Consider the following 22,035-nt stretch of genomic DNA (forward strand, 5'->3'; position numbering starts at 1 on the left):
GAAAAAACTACTTTAAAGTTCATGTGGAACCAAAAAAGAGCCCACATCGCCAAGGCAATCCTAAGCCCAAAGAACAAAGCTGGAGGCATCACACTACCTGACTTCAAACTATACTACAAGGCTACAGTAACCAAAACAGCATGGTACTGGTACCAAAACAGAGATATAGATCAATGGAACAGAACAGAGCCCTCAGAAATAACGCCGCATATCTACAACTATCTGATCTTTGACAAACCTGAGAAAAACAAGCAATGGGGAAAGGATTCCCTATTTAATAAATGGTGCTGGGAAAACTGGCTAGCCATATGTAGAAAGCTGAAACTGGATCCCTTCCTTACACCTTATACAAAATTCAATTCAAGATGGATTAAAGACTTAAACGTTAGACCTAAAACCATAAAAACCCTAGAAGAAAACCTAGGCATTACCATTCAGGACATAGGCATGGGCAAGGACTTCACGTCCAAAACACCAAAAGCAATGGCAACAAAAGACAAAATTGACAAATGGGATCTAATTAAACTAAAGAGCTTCTGCACAGCAAAAGAAACTACCATCAGAGTGAACAGGCAACCTACAAAATGGGAGAAAATTTTCACAACCTACTCATCTGACAAAGGGTTAATATCCAGAATCTACAATGAACTCAAACAAATTTACAAGAAAAAAAACAAACAACCCCATCAAAAAGTGGGCGAAGGACATGAACAGACACTTCTCAAAAGAAGACATTTATGCAGCCAAAAAACACATGAAAAAATGCTCTCATCACAGGCCATCAGAGAAATGCAAATCAAAACCACAATGAGATACCATCTCACACCAGTTAGAATGGCAATCATTAAAAAGTCAGGAAACAACAGGTGCTGGAGAGGATGTGGAGAAATAGGAACACTTCTACACTGTTGGTGGGACTGTAAACTAGTTCAACCATTGTGGAAGTCAGTGTGGTGATTCCTCAGGGATCTAGAACTACAAATACCATTTGACCCAGCCATCCCATTACTGGGTATATACCCAAAGGACTATAAATCATGCTGCTATAAAGACACATGCACACGTATGTTTATTGCGGCATTATTCACAACAGCAAAGACTTGGAACCAACCCCAATGTCCAACAATGATAGACTGGATTAAGAAAATGTGGCACATATACACCATGGAATACTATGCAGCCATGAAAAATGATGAGTTCATGTCCTTTGTAGGGACATGGATGAAATTGGAAATCATCATTCTCAGTAAACTATCGCAAGAACAAAAAACCAAACACCGCATATTCTCACTCGTAGGTGGGAATTGAACAATGAGATCACATGGACACAGGAAGGGGAATATCACACTCTGGGGACTGTGGTGGGGTGGGGGGTGGGGGGAGGGATAGCATTGGGAGATGTACCTAACGCTAGATGACAAGTTAGTGGGTGCAGCGCACCAGCATGGCACATGTATACATATGTAACTAACCTGCGCAATGTGCACATGTACCCTAAAACTTAAAGTATAATAAAAAAAAAAGAAATAAAAATTCTAAGGAAACATGAAAAAAAATAAATAAATAAAATAAAATGACAATCTGACCGTTTCAATTGCTTATTACCTATCATCTCCATGGTCTGAAGAATGAAGAGAGAAGTTACAACTTACACAAGAGGTTGTATGAAGGCAAGTCTCTTTGAAAGCTATAAACTAAGGACCGCTGTGAAACAGAGAATTTCTACATAATTATGCATTTACCTTTACCTACATACCATTTTACCTATATCAAAGCAATACACATGTGATTATGTTTCATTAAATGTCCTGATAGCATTGAGGAGTTATTTCATGCTTTAGCATAAGGCCTGCGCAAATTTGATTTCTAATACCTCACCCAAATAATAACTACAACAGCAACGATATAGATTGTTTCATCTTTCCAGGTCTGTGAGAGAAAATAAATAACAAATCTCAAATCTGGGGAAAATATTTGCATCCTATCCAACAAATAAAAACACACCTGGCCGGGTGCAGTGGCTCATGCCTGTAATGCCAGCACTTTGGGAGGCTGAGGCGGGCGGATCACTTGAGGTTAGGAGTTTGAGACCAGCCTGGGCAACGTGGTGAAACCCCATCTCTACTAAAAATACAAAATTAGCCGGGTGTGGTGGTGGGTGCCTGTAGACCCAGCTACTCAGGAGGCTGAGGCAGGAAAATCTCTTGAACTTGGGAGGCAGAGGCTGCAGTGAGCTGAGATCACACCACTGCCCTTCAGCCTGGGCGACAAAGAGAGACGCCGCGGGGGGGTAAAAACACCTAATTCTCTCCAGCCAACAAGTGACAATTGTCATAAAGCAATGCAGCAAAGGGTCCAATAATTCTATTTAGTTTTTCTTTACGGGAAGGTTTTATTTTGTGATAATTTTTGTGCAATCCGCCTCCCCCCACACCACCGCCAGATGAATAATTGAAGCAGAAAAAAACTAACCCCTGAGCCGGACTTAGATGCCAGCCAGTCAGTGGGCCCTCCAGAGAGGGTGTGAGGCCATGCAGTGCAGCATCGCAGCAGGTCCAAACGACAGCAGCCAATTAGAGAGCAGACTTCTGAGCCACTTTGTTCTCCGCAGAGCAAACAGAGCCGAATGTTTTAATTCCCTGGGAGCGAAAATCTTTCACTGGAGAGACTCGCATAATTTCTTATTTAGGAAAGGTTTAAAGAGATTTGTGCTGGAGTATTTAATCCAAAACCTTGCAACTGTCCCAGCAGTGGGTATAGATTAGGGAACAGTTGACTTCACACATTGATATTCAAAATAGAAAGGCGTTTTTCATCAAACGTGGCAGGGAGATTGGGGAATGACAGCATCTAACACCAGCTGTGCGGGGGCATAGATCTTGCTCTCTCACAAACTTCAGGAGCTCCTGTATCTATTGGCAAGCCAGCTCCCGCTTAACAGAGGACTCCCCTGAGTCTTTGGAGGCACAGTACTTTGCAAAATTAACCCCACGGTCCTGATTGCTCTCAAGGAAATAGCTCTATCCTCTCTCTATCCTCTCTCTCTCTCTCTCTCTCTCTCTCTCTCTCTCTCTCCCCCTCTCTCCCCTCTCCTCTTCTCTCTCTCTCTCTCTCTCTCTCTCTCCCCCTCTCTCTCTCCCCTCTCCTCTTCTCTCTCTCTCTCTCTCACCTTTTCTATTCTATTTCACTGGGTTTTCATGCCACAGACTAGGAATGCTTGCACTTGGCAGTGAGCCCACAGTCATAAAATCCAAGAAGGATTGTTTATTTATAAGAATGCTCCATTTAGGGTAGGCTCAATAGAACATTTCAGTTTAAAATAAGCAAGAAACACTGGGCAATCCATCACCAAATTATATTTTCCATTGAGAGAACAGCATGTATCACTCTCTGCAAATAGCCACATCCTTACTCTCAGGGTTTGCCAAGTCAGATGCCCACCCAGTGAATGGTAGACAACCTTGAGAGAAAGTGAATGCATAAATCAGATCCCTGGATTTTATAGACAGCATGCAGAGAGCTACAGGAGAGGCCCACAGACCTTGGAAAGAAGGTGACCCCTGACATTCAGAGTTCTAAGAATTGACTCTTTTTTTTTTTTTTTTTTTTTTTTGAGACAGTCTCGCTCTGTCACCCAGGCTGGAGTGCAGTGGCGCGATCTCGACTCACTGCAAGCTCCGCCTCCCGGGTTCACGCCATTATCCTGCCTCAGCCTCCCGAGTAGCTGGGACTACAGGCGTCCGCCACCACACCCGGCTAATTTTTTGTATTTTGAGTAGAGATGGGGTTTCACCGTGTTAGCCAGGATGGTCTCTATCTCCTGACCTCATGATCCGCCTGCCTCAGCCTCCCAAAGTGCTGGGATTACAGGCGCGAGCCACAGCGCCCAGCCAGAATTGACTCTTAATGCTTACTGCTAGCCTTAAACAGAAGCAATTCACCCCAAGAGGCAGGGTGTAAGGTGTAGTTACAAGACTCAGGAAAACCCAAGTCCAGTCGGTGACATAGTGCCAAGGTGGTAGGTCTGGAGAGTGGGAGATGTCCAAAAAGGCTGGCAGTGTGCCCCAACAGAGAAATACCATATGAACAAAGAAGGGAACAGACAGCACAAACACGACAAAGGAGACCCAAAGAGCAACAAGGTGTGGGTTAGTCCCAGAGCCCAAGTCCTAGCTTCTGGGTTGGTAGACCAGTGAGTGAAAACCCAGTCACAGAAACTCCTCCAAAGTAAAGGACCCCATAAATTCCTGTTGGAGCAGCCAGGTAGCTCTGCCTCTTTCTTTCTTCTGTCTCTCATCTCTGTGACAAGTTGATGGCTTCCATCTCCTTGAATGCTTCTCTTTTTAACCCCCATCCACCCACCCAATCCCAATCTACCTATCATAAATCCACATTATGTCATTCTAAAGGTACAATGCACAAAGGGATGGATGATGGCCAAGTACTTGCAACAGAATAGAGGAGAAAGGCAGAGGCAAGGCCAAGGTCTAGACTCACCCTGGTGCTGGGGCAAAATGCACCACAATATTAACAGGAGTACACAGAGGAGTGGTTTCTGATGGTTTTCTATATATTCCAAATATTACGGTGATACTTAGGGGGAAAAATAACAAGAACTAGAAGTATTACAAGCAACAAGCTACTAAAACAAAAGTCCAAGAAACGGTTTAAAAAGGGATTGATGTTTGGAGATAGAGGAAGAAAAATTTTATGAGGAGACATAGGCAGAACCTAACAGAAAGGCATACCAATAGATATTCAGGCAAGTGCAAAATCCAAGTATTAACAGGCATTAGGCCTCTGCCAATGGACTTGGGGTTGGAGATAGCCATACCCCATGGAAAGAAAAATTAAAAAGGCAAAGCAAGAAGCTGGTTCTAATCAGACATGAGGATACAAAGTAGTTGTCCTTAACAGGAAACAGAAGATGTTGAGACAAAATCATAGTAATGAGAACTAAGATATTCCAGAGACACAGGGGAGAAGAGACTGAGGTTTCAAAATTGAGCACCAGGTCCTAGTAAGATGAGTTGCAAGTGATGGAAGGGGGATAGTTTGCCTCAGGTATTTTGGTTATTTTTGTGCTAAAAATAACAAAACAATCTCAGTGGCATAGGAAGGTCAGTATGTATTTAGCTCACTCATCTGTGGATTGGTGGAGGGCCCCCTTATGTAGGCTGGTCTCAGCTGGGGACTCTGTCAGTCTTGGTAAGCTCCCTCATGCAGCTGAAGTTCATCTGGGCTTTGATGGACGTAGGCTCAGCATGGCTGGGCTGTGGGGCTGGTGTCACACTGCTCCACACGCCTTCTATGCTCCTCCTGGGACCAGTGGGCTAGCCCAGTCATGTTCTTCTTATAGTGAAAGCAGAAGTGCCAAAAAGCAAGGCCAGTTGCCACCCTGCATTTTAAACTTTTGATAGAGCAAGCCACTAACATTCCACTGGTCAAAGAAAATGACAGCCAAGCCCAACGTCAAAGAGTAAAAGTGTACTCCACCCACGGAGGTGGCAGGAGGGTGGAAGGAATAAGTACTTCTGAACAACAATCCACTAGCCCTCTGGTTTTAAAACATAATAAACCTAAACGCTATGAGGAACAAAAGGAAGGATGCAGAAGGAAAGAACAAGGCTAAGTCTAATTCGATGGTCCTTTTTGTCAGACAAGCCACACATTCGCCAACCCCTCCTCAAAGGTAGCAGGAGACATAGTCCAGATGTTGATACTTGTAATTTTTCTTCCCACAGCTGAGACCCCATTACCTCCATTTGCATATTTAGCCTTGCCTAACAATCTTGCTGCAGTCAGGTAGCTTTTAAAAGCTAACCTCATTCTCACATCCTGAACGTCCATGGTCATCCTATGATGCATACCGTTCAGCTGTCGCCCTCTGAATAGTTGGCCCATTTCCCAGAAATGATTATTTTTTAAATGTGGAGTAGGGATACATTATTATTTAAAATCAATTAAAGGTCGAGTATGATTAGAAGCCAACATAAGGACTTGGGATCAAGATAACATAGTGATTGGTGCTAGAGAAATACTTCAAGACACTTGCTCAGCACTAAATACTTAATGGTGATGAAGTATTGAAATAGGAAAGTCAATGACTGCCCTACTAAAAATGAAACAAAAATCTCCATGGGCCAGAAGTGGAACAGAAGTCTAATTAATGAAGAGAAATGAAGTGGAGGACAGCTTTAAATCCAAAAGAAGGTAGCAGCGTCCAGGAGTTCAGCTTATGTGAGAGTAACGAGGGTGAATGTTTCCGTAAGAACTGGGGTAAGAGCCAGGCACACTACATGAAGTCAGGGACTGGACTGGGGCACCCCACCATGCTTTAAAGAAGGCTGAAAAAATATTGCTGGTGACATCCTCCTAAGGCTGCTATTTCATGGAAACTAGGTTTGGTGCTATGAATAGAGATAAATACTCCAGTGGCTCTGCAGTTGGATATGTGATATCCTCAGTAACACAACTGGCCTTGAAGCCATTACAAAATCTGATTCTACACCATGGGCCTAGGGGTGGAGGTGGGAATCATATAGGGCCTGTAGAAACACAGCTGGATTATTAGACAAATAGGAAAGCGTGAAAAAAAACGAAACCAAACTAAAGTTAAACCACCCACTCAAAATGAGCTTTCAAAACAAAGTTAAAGAGCTAAGAGGTTGTCTACAGAGAAGCAAAATCTGGTGCAAAATTTTGGATCCTGAGGAAGGAAGGGCGGGCACCCACAAGCAGAGGGGTCAGCCAAACACGATGTGTTGCAACATGGATAGGATGAAGAGACTTGCACACAAGGAACAGCAGCAAAAATAACACCTGTGTAGGGAATGGAGTGGTGATGGTGATAGGAGATTAGTTACATAAAAAGAGATTAATCAAGTAAGCAAATGTATTGAGGATAATGAGAACCAGCTTTCTCACTGTCAAAGAAGGAAGGAAATTATAAATGTGAAAAGAGAGAAATATGGAATTAACCCTGTAATGTTGAATTGGAATCGAAAGTATTGTTGTAAACTCGTGTATGTATATAAACTCATATATGTATATACATACAATTTGTATGTATGCCCAAATCTGGCACAATTTGAGCATCAAAATAAATAGTGGCATGACTAATTACAATCTATTGAATAAAATTAAAACCCACAAGTCCATACATACTGATAAAAATAGATCATTGAATAAATTGAACATTTGATGAAGAATGTGATATTTACATCCTTTGAAAGTACCACCCTTCAAAATACTTTTTAATTATAAATGTTGAAAGGATAACTTTTCCAGGAGAAACCACCTTAATTTACTAATTATAGTAAATATAATCGGTAATAGAACAAATATGAATTGGGTGCCACCTGATAAGATATGATGAAATAAACACAGTGTCACTTTTGTCATATTCCTGCCAAAAATGCACGACATGAGTCTGAGGGGGACATTTCCAATAAATTCAAAGTTGTCAAGAAGCTAAATGCAAGGCACGACTATAGAATGGAATATTTTGTTATAAGGAGCGTAACTGGGACAATTGATGAAACCATATGGGGTTTGATGATAAGATTGTCATAATGATTCAGTGTTAACTTCTTGATATTTGTAGTTCTTTGTGGTTATGTAGGAAAACGTCCTTGTTTGCAGGAAATACACACTGCAATATTCAAGGATGATCATGTCTGTAACTTACTCCCAAAAGATTCAGGAAAAAAATCTTTGTACTGCGCTTGCTTCTCTACTTTAAGCCTACAATTATTTCAAAAATTTTTAAATTAATAAAAAAACTAAGTAAATGAGAATTAGAGTTTACTCATGAAAAAGAAACACAATTACACAACACATGAAGAAATTTAATATTTAGAGAAAGCCAATAAAATACATCAAGATATAAATTCACTTCAGATGAAGCATATTTTAGAAGATTCTGATAAAAATATTTAAATAATCACGTTTAAGATAAGCGAGTTAGGATTTGTTATACAACAGTCTTTGCTAATACCTGGTTAACAGGAAAAAATAACTAAATAACTCTGGACATTAAACAAGTGAATAATTTAAATTATTTTTTAAATAGGATATGATCAAAGATTAAGTTCATGGTTTAAAAAGATGTTAAAGAATCCCTCCAGAACAGGCACAGAAAAAGAGATTTCTAAAAATTCAACAGCATTTAGGAGGCATAGAGGATGAAGAATCTCAGAAGAAGAGAATGAAAAGAATAGCAGAGAATCAATAATTAAAGACATAAGAGCTGAGAATTTTCCAAAATTGAAGAAAGCCATAATCCCTCAGAACAAAAGTGCATTCTGACTGCCAAGCAGGTGAATGCACATTATGATTGTTTATGGTGAAACTAAAAGGACATCAGTGATAAAGAGGAAATGTCATTGCTGATGGTAGGTGGGAAACTACCTATTAAGAAATTTAAACTCTGCTGAACTACTACCCAAAAATGAGGACAAAATAGGAAAACATTTTAAATATAAAAATTAAAATGTTGTATCACTTACAGAATTTACTTAAACAATTATTAAAGAAAATTCTGAACCTAATACTGTATAATACATAGAAATTAATATTTTAATTGGTAAATTGAACAAACCACTCAATGTAAAAAATGACAATAATACTTTTTGTATCAAAATAAAGAGGTTAACCTAGAACCCCAGGCAACAATAACAAGACAGTGGAGGAGGGTATTTAATGAGCAAAGTATGTTAAGATATCTGTTATGTTCAGAAACAGAATATTGTTCGAATAATTTATATTTAAGTACATAGATTAAAAATGTAAGAGTAGCCACTGAAGTTATAGTGATAAATTTTAAAACAAAGCAAAACAGAAAAGCAGCCTAGGCACATGAGAGTGACACTGCTGGAAACCAGAGACAAAGAGCCAGTCTTGAAAACATCCTCCCTTGAATTCAAACATGTTACCTTGAATGAAGCAGTAATAAGACTGATAGCGTTCTAAGGACCTTCTATTGTCATAAAAGTGGTGAAAGCACTAATTTCTATTATAGTTTAATAAGTCAGGATTTCATGCTGTATTCTCAAGAGTAACGACAAAAAGTCTAGTAAATGGACTAAATATTCCAATAAAAAGACACAGCTTTTCAGACTAGAGTTTTAAAATCCAATTATGTACTGCTTACAAGAAATGCATCTTAAAAACAAAGATACAAAAAGATTGAAAGGAAAAGATGGAAAAAGATTTACCATGAAAATACTAACCCCAAGAGCCTGGCATAATTATATTAATATCAGACAAAATAGACTTTAAGGTAGGAAATATGACTGGAGTTAAAGAAGGGAAAATAATGATAGAAGATTCAGTCCACCAGAAAGATTTTACATGTGTAAATTCAAATGCTCCAATAACAAAGGCTGAAAACATAGGAAGCAAAAACTAATCATAACTACCACAGTAATTTTTTAAACTACATCTTTCAAGCAGGTAGAGAAAAATCAAAGGAATTAACAGCAACAAAATCTGATCAATTAATTAAATGGAAAATTTTTTCAAACAACTCAGCTTTCCAAATTTGTTTTGCCCTTGGCAATTTCCTTTGTTATATTCCTGGCTTAGCAATCGTTAAAGTTATGTACGTGTGCTATCTTTAGTTGTATTTTAACAATAGGGGCTTTCAGGATATCTAGTTCACCATACTGCCAGAAGCAGAGGCCCCTTTCACAGCCCTTCTCACTGTTAAAATTTTACATTCTTATTGTGATTGTTGGGTTAATATCTGTGTTTTCCACGACACTATACATCATTAGATTTGAGGATTATGTCAGCTTTTACTCACTGGTATCCGTGCCTAGCACAGTCATCAGCAATTAATATGAAAAATCTGATCTTTGCTTTGAGAAGTTTAACAGAAAGGCAGTTATTATACAAATAATAATATGCAATCAAATAAATCTACGTGTGCTAAGTGGTAGGAAGATGTACAGTTTGCTAAGGAGTACATAACAGGAAAGCTGACCTAGCCTGGAAGGTCAAAATGAGATGGTGCCAAATGGAGGTTGTACCAAGTGCTCAACTCATGCATAAAGAGGCTGAATGCTCCTAAGGAGAATTCCTCAGCACAGGTCACCCTCACTGGATGAAGCTTCCATTATCCTGCCAAAATGGGCTCTCATTGCCTCAAGCCTAGTGACACCAAACGTCAGTACCGATAGGACTGACCCATTCCACAGATCATGTGTTCAGGGGTCAGCCATGACTAGATAAGACAGACCTAACTAGGTTAGCAGTCTACCCCTGGGAACACCTTTCCTACAAACATATTCTCATACCAATGGGGGTTTTCCATAAGTGGTAAAGGGCCTATTTCCATTTAAAGCATCATAGTTCTAAGAGAATTTGGCTACTTTATTCTGTCATCAGGAAGCACAGGTTTTGGAATCAGACCAGGTTTGAAACCCCACTAAACTATTTCCTATATACTTTTGGACAAATTGCTTATCCTCTCTAAGAACTGAGTTCCTCTCTGGCAAAACAGAAAAGCAGTGGCACATTGGCTTACGAGGACTACGTGAAATATGAGTCAAGTGCTTAGAGGGGATCATACCCATCTTGCTCAGCACTGTAAGACATTCAGTGCAATGCTTAGCACCTGGTAGATGTCAAATAAATGAAAAACTTTCTGCCCCAGAGGTCTCCAATAATGTATTCTGAGCCTCCATAGTCACTACTCCCCTATTAGACATAAAGGGGCCTCAAACTTATTTTGGAGTTATATTTTTCAATATTTATTTCTGTAAAATACAATGGGGATGGCAAAGTGTGATCTGTTCACCGCTCAGAGCTTGTTCCATGATGCCTTCTGTGTGAAGCAGAGAAAGGGAAGAGGGACCTGTGCACTGTGCATAACCCACTGTGTAAGTCCAGAGGGAAGATGTGAGCAAGTAGATCATTTTGCTTCATAAAGCTCACTTGGCAACATCATCAGTGGATTTCACAAATTGGATTCTCGGTTGGGTAGAAGAAAAACATAGAGAATGGGAATGTAATCTTAAATTACTATTTCAAGGTGGGCCATCAGTTATAGAAGGAAGGTAGAAAACGGATGGATGGATGGATGGATGGATGGATAGAGTGGATGGGTGGATGGGTGGATGGATGGATGGATGAATGCATGGGTGGATGGATGGATGCATGGGTGGATGGATGGATGGATTGAATAGATGAATGGGAGGAAAATGTTTACAGATAAAAGAAAAAAATTTCCACATGACACATGATCCAGTTAAGACTGTGTGAAGGGGAGGTTTGCAAGACATGTAATGTAAATTGAGGATTCGGGAGTTTAGAATCTAAGAATAAAAGGTTTGGCCAACAAGTTACACTACCATTGCTTGCCTGTGCTGCAGAACCATTTATAGTGAGCAGTTTATTGATTTGGTAATCATTTCTCCTAGCATGAAGGTAAAATGGTCTCTAGGAACCCTTCACTGACGTGTACAAGGACAACTGTGTTTCCTTTTATTTAGAGTGGACCAGGGAAAAATCAGAAGAATTTTCTTCAGATAGTCTTACAAAGTGAAAACCGGGGGATCAGGTAACGGATAGGAAGTGTGATTCATGACTTGTGTGCGTGTGAAGTGGAATTCAGTATGTGGCACCAGCCGTCTCTCTACATGATGAAATAGCACGAATACTTAGCTCCTTCTTATGTAGCAGAGACATTTTTCACATGTGCTGCAGCACAGGAATAGGGAGAAGTTATACCTCTAAAATCATTTGGGGATTGAGGGTACATCAGATGCCTGTGTGTGGACAGTACTTTAAAGTGTAAAGTTCAGCAATGGGATAAATCCATCGGAGCAAATTCAGTAACTACCATAGTCTATTTCCCCAAGCTCAAATTATTTTGACACCTTCATGAAATATTCTGGTACATATGAAAGTTACATAGGTAGACACAGGTCACAGGAGTTTGCTGCACAAAGTATTTCATCACCGAAGTATTAAGCCCAGTAACCAACGGTTATCTTTTCTGCTCTTCACCCTCCTCCCACTCCCTCCCTCAAGTAGAGCCCAGTTTCTGTTGTTTCCTTCTTTGTCTTCATAAGGTTCTTATCATTTAGCTCCCACTTAAAAGTGAGAACATGCAGTATTTGGTTTTCTGCTCCTGCATTAGTTGGCTAAGGATAATGGCCTCCAGTTCCATCCATGTTCCTCTAAAGACATAATCTCTTTCTTTTTTATGGCTGCATACTATTCAATGGTGTCTATGTACCACATTTTCTTTACCAAATCTGTCATTGATGGGCATTTAGGTTGATTCCATGTCTTTGCTATTGTGAATAGTGCTGCAGTGAACATTCATGTGCATGTGTCTTTATGGCAGAATGATTTATATTCCTCTGGGTATATAACCATAATGAGATTGCTGGAAAGAAATGTAGTCCATGGTTCTTTCCTCCTCCCACCCATCCTCCCTCACTAATGTAGGATGGTAACCCATAGAAAAGTCTACCCCCTACCCCCACAAACATTATAAATACATTTGCACACCCAGATATGCCCAATTAATTTTGGAAGAAACCAGGAGTGTTCTCACAAGTACATACCAAAAAATCCAATATGTTACCACGTGTCATCTGCAATTTTATTCTTCCTCTCCTATGACAGCCCTCTCTACTGACTATCCCTGGAACACATCCAGAACGTATGAAGAAGGGCCCTCTCTCCCTCAATATCCTCTGCATGCTCATATCTGCTCAAGGCCCCAATGTCTTGCAGACTGTTTACTGAGCCATCACTTTCAATATAGATGGCTCTCTACTTTCCACCATAGCACTCAGACATGAATCCAGTTGAGACTGGGCTGGCAGACAAATCCAAGTAAAAATACAGCAAGCTTGACTCAGAATGGCTCTTCCTCACTGATGACTCAGTTTTTGTTACTTGGCCAAGGTTGTTCTCTTTCTTTAAATCTGATTCTCTTCCATTAGGGTGAATTATATCCTAGGGGTGGGGGACTCCTCACTCCCTCAAACACATCATCTCCTGGCAGGTCCACCCCACAGTTCCCCAGGCACACCGAGGCAGGTCTGAACCCCAGGGATGGGCCCAGCTGAGGCTCCGTGTGGGATCCCTGCTATCATCATCAACAACAACCTTTGTTTTAAAATTAGGCCAAAAAAATATTTTAATGAATTGTTTAGGGTTGCAATCTGAATCCTGACAGTATTTAAAATACCTCTTGTGGGAAGAACAAATGTTTCTAAAACCTAAAATAGACAAATTGCACTGGCCTACTTTACAACAAGTCCTAACAAGTCATCAACAATAAAAACTTCCCATTTTCTTTTGGCCTTAACCAGACTAGGAAAGCACTGAGCTTTGGTTTGCAATTTTCCACTGGTCAAAAGAGAGCACTTTCTTGAATCACAGCCTACAGACATAGGCATTCTATGGCAGTTTCAAACTCTGGGGTTTTTCCCCCCAAAAGAAGGGCCACAAATAATCTTTCTGCTCATGGTTAATAAATTTATCATTTGAAAGAAATGTATCTTCATGGATAGGATCAATGACTTCTCTAATGAAAAGCACATTTCTATACATGTTCCTAACAAGATCTCATGGAGGGCCCATGAACGTTGAAGCAGCTGAAGCCTGCACAGCTTTCAAAACTAACTGCTTCCAGGTGCCCAATGAATACAACTTGAGCTCAGCTACAGCTATTTTCAACCTAGTGCCTAAGCGTCTTGTTCTTGCAAGTGTAAAGTTTCCCTCATTCTCCTTTTTATGGCCACAGGTTTCTGGGTTGCATAACACCCAATAAGAGAGCACCAAAGGGCTTAGTTTTATTGTTTTGTTGTGTTTTATTGACTAGATGTTTTATCCAGCTAATGTGTGCTGGAGAGGCAGGCAATAACAGCCCAATTATATCACTCATGCTCTTCCTCTCCTCCAAGTGCCCAGCGACCTAGCACACTTTTATTGCATCCACACGCAGATGTTAAAAAAAGAAGAAAGGAACGAAGGAGGACTGGTTAAAGTGTTAAAGCTGGAACCGCTCCTTTCCCAAGTGATCCTTGAAGGCCAAGAGCCTTCCAAAGAATGGCAGTTTGTTCCTGCTTGCGGTCATGGAGTCAGTCACCAGATCTCGTCTTGGGAAAAGAATGCTGTTGCTCTTTGGAGAAACGCCAGAGGAAACATTCTCCCCATTGGGAGGATTTGGGACTCCAGGATTGTGCCAGGAGTGCCTAACAATCCCTGAGTCTTTCTGCCAGCCTTGCAAATTCGATGGCATTTCAGTAAAGATAGAGGAGTTCACTCACACCCACTTAGATTTCTCAGTTATTAATTTTCATAATGTTTTAAAATAATTCATAGGAAACTGTGTAACCAAAGGTTTATTTTTTTGGAAGACAAAGTAAACAATTTTATGACTGAATAAGCGTTAAACCAGAATGCGATGTGCATCACAGGCAGTCCACTACAAAGACAGAATCTTACTCCCTTGTACAGCTGAGTGGCTTCAGCCCATCACATTAGTTAGGTTTTGCAATTTGGAGTCAGGTGACAAGTTAGGCCCTTGTCCTACCAGGAAACTGAAAGTGTGGGCCATATGTCCCTTGAGAATTACATTTCAAAGAGACAGCTCCCAGGAAACATTCCTGAGTTGAGATTGGTCATAGGTTTATTTACCCATTAAAAAAACTTGCATATATTTGAAAAGGAGGGAGAATAAAATTCTGAAAGAGAAAGAGAGTGGTATGGAGGGGACTCTTAATTTCCACAGGGAGAAAAAAGCCCAATATTTAATTTGTATTTGCCCTTCTACGTGCATCACCTTTCCCATGTGCTAGTCCCACAGGTAGGTTCCTGTCCATTCCCAAGGCCCTGCTTCCCTGTCTTCTTCAACCTGGTTCTTCCAAGGCTATGTGGCTGCACTAGGAAGACCCTGCATCCCCGCTGTACTCAGATATTTCCCCTCTTACCTGTACAGCCATCGTAGGGGAAGCCATCCGGGGCTCAGCACACTTCTCCCAGCTGGGCTGCCAGGGCTCTGTCCTGTTCCATGCCCTTTTAGCTGTGGGGCCCTGGAGAGATTACATAACTCCAGCCTTCAATCACTAAAGGGGTACCCAAGGGCAGTGGAGCAACTTCACTGAGTGGACACACAGAATCCTCATGATGCCTCCAACCCTCCCTGCCCCATCAACTTAATCAACGCTTTAGAATCAGAGAGGGTGGGATTCAAATCCCAGCTCTGTCACTTCCCAGTTCTCTGATCGTGAACAAATGGCCTAAGCTCTAAGCTTCAGTTTCCTCATCTATAAAATGGGAATCATGTAACTCGCCTCAGGGTTGCTGTGAATATTTAATAAGATACTTACACAGCACGTAGCATATCACCTGAATTCACACCACTTGGTAGTATATTATACTTTTTACATCTTTATAAACAGATGCATTCAATTTTTATTCTTTGCTTGTCATCTCTTGTTCCATTAAAAGTATACCTGTGATTTTACACCCTCTTGTTAACATTGTTTTCATTGCATCATCATGTTGTACTTTTAGCCATTTCATCATTGCTAAATATCTAAGATTTCACTAATATCCATGTAAACAATGCTATAAAATGCATGTTTGTGTGCAAAATTAATCAGCTTTAATTATTATACCCTTAAAATAGATTAACAGATGAGGACTTACAGGATCAAAAGTTATGAATATCTTTAAAATTCAACACATATCACAAAAATATTTTCCAAGAAGATTCTCCTTACATTTTACAACAATGCTAGCATCTCCTATCAGCCATCAGAAAAGGGAAGAAATAGCCCAAATTTGACTTCTTTCTTTTATGAAAGATTTGTGTTTGGACATTAGGTTCACATTCCTTTCTACATAGCAAGAAGAACAGAAAATAGTGGTAACTATGCAGCTAATAAAACTTATCCATAAGATTGAAAGAAAAGTAAAACCAAGCTGTCTGAATATTTTCTTAATTCTCTACATTACATTTCCAGACATAATCTCAATAGCACAGAATTATCATTTCTACATTTTAAGGTCCAAATGTTTTCATCCTAAAGTAAAAAGAGTTCCAAGCTAAGGCATCCAGCAACCTGATGGGGTCTTCAGTACTCAGCAGGTAGAAGAACATGGGTACCCAATAATGAATTTGAAGGTTGTGTAGGAAATGGGGTTTCCAATATGACCATTGATGTAAGGTTATTATCACAGTGGAATAGAGTTTACAAATGATCCATCTCAATATTTTTGTAAGTAAGTAAACTGAAACCAAGAGAATGCAAGGGATTTGCCCAGTTACAGGATTTGCCTAGTAAGTGACAGAATAAGGACCATCCCGCAAGCAGTGCTTGCCCAGACTGTCTTCCTCTACATGGCAGCATCTACACCACCCTAGGTGATGATCACCACCACTTTCTGATGATGATCACACATCCCTAGAGATGGCCTGGTTCTCAGATCTGCTATCCACCTAATGGAGATATCCTCATGGGAACTGAGAAATAAGCCCTGATGAGGAAAAGCAGTAAATCATTAACTGACATATCCATGTATTAGGATAATATACTATTGGAGCCTACTTTATCAATGGGAGGCAGACAAACCCCTATATGCTTGCCATTGTTTACTGCCTTGTTTAACTATATCAAATACAAGGCTATTTCTTATGTGAGTTGATGAATCAGTAAGCAGTAATTGTCCCAGGGGGTCTTATTTTCTTTCTTTTCTCTCCACTCGTCTTATCTTACAACAAAAATTATTTAGTTTGTCCATGAGCTCAATACCATACAGACACCTTTGAGTTTTCCAAAAATATGCATCCTTTGATACATTTGCCTTCCATATATTGTTTCAATTCAAAAGACAATGAGTCATTGTAGGTGATCTGGAAATAAATATAAACAAGCTTCATATCACTTTAAAATGAATTTTTATTTCAGATTCAATATTATGAGTAAAAATACCTTTCATCTGTTTAAGATTTTATAGGTTATAAAAAAGCGTATATGTAGTTGACCCTTGAACAAAGTGGGGATTGGAGGCACCAACTCCCTGCTCCCCATTCAGTCAAAAATCCACTTACAACTTTTGACTCCCCAGAAACTTAACTATTAATAGCCTACCTTTAAATGGAAGCCTTAACCAGTAACATAAACAGTCGATTAACACATATTTCATATGTTGTTTGTATTATATACTGTATTCTTACAGTAAAGTAAGCTAGAGAAAAGAAAATGTTATTAAGAAAATCATAAGGAAGAGAAAATACATTTACTATTTATTAAGTGGAAGTATCAGAGAAGACTGAGTAGAAGCCACAACTTTCATGACTACCAGCTGCTAATAAGCCCCCACCCCACACTGACCTGTGGGAGCTGGAACTCCCATCCTGCCCATTTACAGACAGGAAACCTCTCCCCCTCTTCAGGTATCAACAGAGCTGAGTGGGGAAACTTGACTTCTACCTCGCCTGGTAAAAATAATATATAATATATATATTATATATAATATATATGCATATATATTATATATAATATATATGCATATATATGTAAAAAGACTGATAAAATAGGCTTACATAAGATCCAGGGTCTTATAACTTAATATTAAAATGTCCAGAATTCAATCAAAATCACTTATCATGCCAAGAACCAGGAATATCTCAAAATGAATGAAAAAAAATCAACAGATGCCAACACCGAGATGAAAGAGATGTGAGCAATATCTGACAAAGATTTTAAAGCACAATAAAAATGCCTCAATGAGCACTTATAAACAGGTTATAAACATGCTTGAAACATGAAAAATAGAAAGCCTCAGCTAAGAAATAGAAAGTCTTGGCAAAACACATCTCATTGGCCAGAATTGGGTTAGTTCTGGTCAATGAGATGTGTTCTGCTAAGACGATTACTAACTCCAGGGGGTTAGTTCTCCCTTGGAGTTAGTAACCATCCGTGGCTACAAAGGAGTCTGAGAAAATGCCTTAGCTTCCTAGCTTCTTGAGTAGAGGAAAATGAGGCAAAACAAGGTTTGGGGATAATAAATCCATGCTGTCTTCCACAAACCTACTTGCAAAATATTTTTACAACCTGCTGTTTTATTTTAAATCAACAAACTAAAGTTAGCTTTTCTGTGTATCTTCTTCTCCGGTTCTTCTGGTGTTTGTTGTGTAAACTTGTGTATTTGGCCCCAGTCCTTTGTGGAAAATAATAAGAAAATGAATCATTACCTCGCAGTTGGGTGATGATTAATGATTATTGATCAATGGTCTCTGTGAGAAAATACTATAAAGACTGGAATCCTTTCACTTTCACATTGATATTTTAATGACTGATTTTAAACAAGCTATTAAAAGGTTAATATTTCAGAGGAAATATACAGATGTTTTTTGAAACTGTCATACCAAAGGCTGTGTGTTTGCTATGACAGCAGAGGCCATAACAAACCTTTTTTCTAAAGTGGCTATGTAACACATCCACTCAAACAAATTAATGTTCCCCCGACTGTCTCCTATTGCCAGAATGACATCACAAGTCAATTTGGATGGAGAGGCACTTTACCACTTTATAACAGATGAGCACAGGCACCTCATTAAAAAAATAAAAAGTGGGTCTGCATCACTAATATTTACCAAAGGGGTAGGGGATGAACGGAGAGTGGAAAAATACCTGGATATTTCTAAGAACAGAAGAAGCCCCCATGATTCCAAACTGAAGCCCTTGTTTCATGGTGTGGGGCTCAGAACAAGAAAGCTGCTAATTTTTTTTTTTTAGAAATTAATAAGAATAAAAAATGTAGTGAAAATATTTTGCTGATTACATATCTTATGAGGTTGTGTGTTAATGCACCTTCCAAAAGTTTAATTTGAGAAAAAATGTATTTATAATATATGGTGCTTCGAATACAAGTCGCAACAGAGTGAGGTGCTGTTGAGGGAGAGGTTAGTAATGATGGGAAATCAGGCAAGGGGTTTTGCCTGGAAAAAAATAAACTAGAAGAACAGGCAAGTGGAGAGAGACTTTTCTAGAAGGGGAAGTAACAGCCACTGGATAAGGGTGATTGTGCTCAGAATCACCCCCCACTGGCCTCTGAGGGCGTTTACCTTGCCAGATGGGTGAGAAAGGCCAGGGCTGTGAGAAAATGTGTCCTGCCCTTGGATGGTCTCCCTCAGGGCTAAGGAGAGCTGGAGGCCTGCTTCAGGTCTTCAGGTTATATCTCTTTGAGTGCAAGTTACAGAAACAGCCTCCAGCTACCAAAGCACTAAAAAGAATGGAGTTGCAAGGGCCTCATCTCAATAAATCAGCACCACACATCTTCCTTCAAGGTTTAAATGCCCGGGAGAGAGCACCTGATCAGTGTCCTGTGGGCCAGATGCCCACCAGCTGGCCAAGGACTTGATTAAGACTAGAAAAATTGTAGCAGTGACCATCGTCACTGCTCCGTCCAAAGATGGAGTCATTAATGCCCCATAGGCCAAAAAACCAAAGATGTCCAGTACGCTAGTACAAGTCTCAGAGGAGTAGGCTAATTATGAGAAGGTCAAATCAGAGAATTTGGAGTTTAAGATGAATTGGTCAAGTTATTTTCAGTCAATGGAGTTAAAAATGGAAATTAGAAGAAGCAGGCAATGAACACCACCAAGAAAGAGGAGAAAGTAGGTTGCCCATGGTCTTATTCTTAGCACATGTGCCAGGCACTGTGCCATGAATTTTATGGGCATTACCTCTTCCATCCTTACAACAACCCCGTCAAGGAAGTACTAATATTTATCCCTATTTTACAGATGAAGAAAGTAAGCTTCGAAGCTCTTAAGGGATTTTCTTAAAAATCTCATAATAAGGGCCAGGTGTGGTGGTTCACACCTGTGACCCCAGCACTTTGGGAAGCTGAGGCAGGAGGATTGCTTAAGCTCAGGAGTTCAAGACCAGCCTGGGCAACATGGTGAGACCCCCATCTCTATAAAAAAAAAATTTAAAAATTAGCCAGGCATGGTGGTGGCAGATGCCTGTAATCTCAGCCTCCCGGGAGGCTGAGGCAGGAGAATTGCTGGAACCTGGGAGTTGGAGGCTGCAGTGAGCCAAGATAACACCACTGCACTCCAGCCTGGGTGACAAAGTGAGGCTCCATCTCAAAAAAAAAAATTAGCCAGGCATGGTGGCATGCATCTGTGGTCCCACTACTCAGGAGGCTGAGGCAGAAGGATGGCTTCAGCCCAGGAGGTCAAGGCTGCAGTAAACCATGACCACATCACCGCACTCCAGCCTGAACAACAGAGCAAGACCCTATCTTAAAAAAAAAAAAAAAAATCACACAACAAGTAAAGAGATGAGGGAAGAAGCTGGGGGTCCGCGAGAGCTGACCCTCTTGTTAAGAGTCGCAGAGTTAACAAGTAACAAAGCAAATGCACAGACCCATGTAACTCCATCCCGCTCCCTTCCTTGGCTGTCTCTCACACGCCCAGCCCCGCCACTGGAGTTCTGTGTAAGATCTTTTTCTTGGAATACAGAATTGGCTCTGTTGCTAAATATACAACAAACAAACAAATATTTGTAAAACCTCTGATAGGTTTTAGACACTTCTAGATTCCAGCCCCTAAATGGATGGCAGGCATCATATAGGGATTCTATAATGTATTGCTGAAATGTATGGGCAGAAGCATTCTTTGACAAGAACTGCAGTAACAGAAAATGACTTTAGCAAGTATTTTATGCTACAGTGGCAGGGGGATGGAATCTGTATTTGGTTAAATGTCCATGTTAATTCCTTACAATTTGCCTGTTGCTACAGTATATGACTCACTGAGCATATTTTCGTTTTCAATCCTAAGCATAGTAACGTATTATATAGTTTAAAGTTGAAGTTTTTAAAGACAGAGTCAAAATTAAAACCATTTTCATAAAAGGCAGAAAATTATTACATGTCATCTTGATGCTTTAAACTATATATTTAATGTTTTATTTTTTATATCAATTATTGGTATGAAATGTTATCTATTTGGCACTTTTTTTCAACTCAATGCACTCAAACTATATTCTTTAGTACTCATATTAATTGGAAATATCCCACTATATCTGATTTTGTGTGCAGGAACTGTGCTCTTGTAACAATGACAGTATTCAATTTTTAAGTCTTTTCTATATTATTGTATAGGGTATAATTTGTGCCCAAAAGCTTTTGTTAGTATTTCTACAAACTGTGATTCTTTTATGTGGGTTTCATTACACCATTGATCTCCAAAAACTGAAATGCATGCCCATGTCTCCCCTGCCTTTACTAAACAGTTCAGCTTTCAAAATTCCTGTTTCTGAGTCCACTGCAACCAAAGGATTCCTGCCTCTGGCTGTGACACCAAGGAGCTCACATAAAGCCTTTGGAGGGAAAAGGATGCGGAACAATGGGTCTGTGACTCCTGCATTTTATTTCTGGAGTTTCTCTGATCATTTCTAAATGTGAGATGCAGTAGAAGAATCATAACTGAGGGTTGGAAATTCAGGTCTCCATGGCTAAACTCCCTGGGTCACAGTCTCTTCCTCTGTGAAATAGAAATAGCGAGTCTCGCCTCTCAGCTCTTTGGATCTCTGTTCTAGCAGAAGATCTACAATCTTTTGTGACTTTTTAAAAAAGAATGTGAGTTGTGAGGGGAACTAAAATGAAGTTGTGATACTACATGTTTAGCAAAACTATTAAAGAACATTTGCATGATGCTTCACAGGTGACAAAGCCAGGTCACATGCATGTTCGTATTTGAAGGATTCAATACTCCTGTCTGGCAGAGAGGAGAGGTAGCTAAGAACGTGGGTTATGCCCTGCCTCCACTGTCAATAGCATTTTGACTTTGAGCAGCTTACATAACTGCTTTGCACCTCAATTTTCACATCTCTAAAATGAAGATTGTAATAATGCAAACACCTTGTTGGGAGGATAAATTGAGTAAAGACACATACGCATAAAAAATGTCAAACAGCACACGGTGTTTGCTCAGTGTTTATATGGAAGCCAGCTGTCATCACTATCATCGTGACCATCATTATT

The 22,035-nt window shown here is 39.9% G+C and overlaps 1 long non-coding RNA gene across 2 annotated transcripts in view, besides 1 other annotated feature; it reads right to left on the minus strand.

Annotated features, from left to right (window-relative positions):
• Positions 1-22,035, minus strand: part of LINC01418 (long intergenic non-protein coding RNA 1418) — a 107,448-nt gene that overhangs the window by 15,427 nt on the left and 69,986 nt on the right. The window lies entirely within an intron of this gene.
• Positions 5,235-5,434: an enhancer, noted in NCBI's record as "active region_9959". NCBI's record gives its function as "activates an Ori minimal core promoter by ATAC-STARR-seq in GM12878 lymphoblastoid cells {active_cell/tissue: GM12878}" and the evidence as "EXISTENCE:reporter gene assay evidence [ECO:0000049][PMID:35858748]".

This window comes from Homo sapiens, chromosome 15 (genome assembly GCF_000001405.40).
Source record: "Homo sapiens chromosome 15, GRCh38.p14 Primary Assembly".
Lineage (NCBI taxonomy): Eukaryota > Metazoa > Chordata > Mammalia > Primates > Hominidae > Homo > Homo sapiens.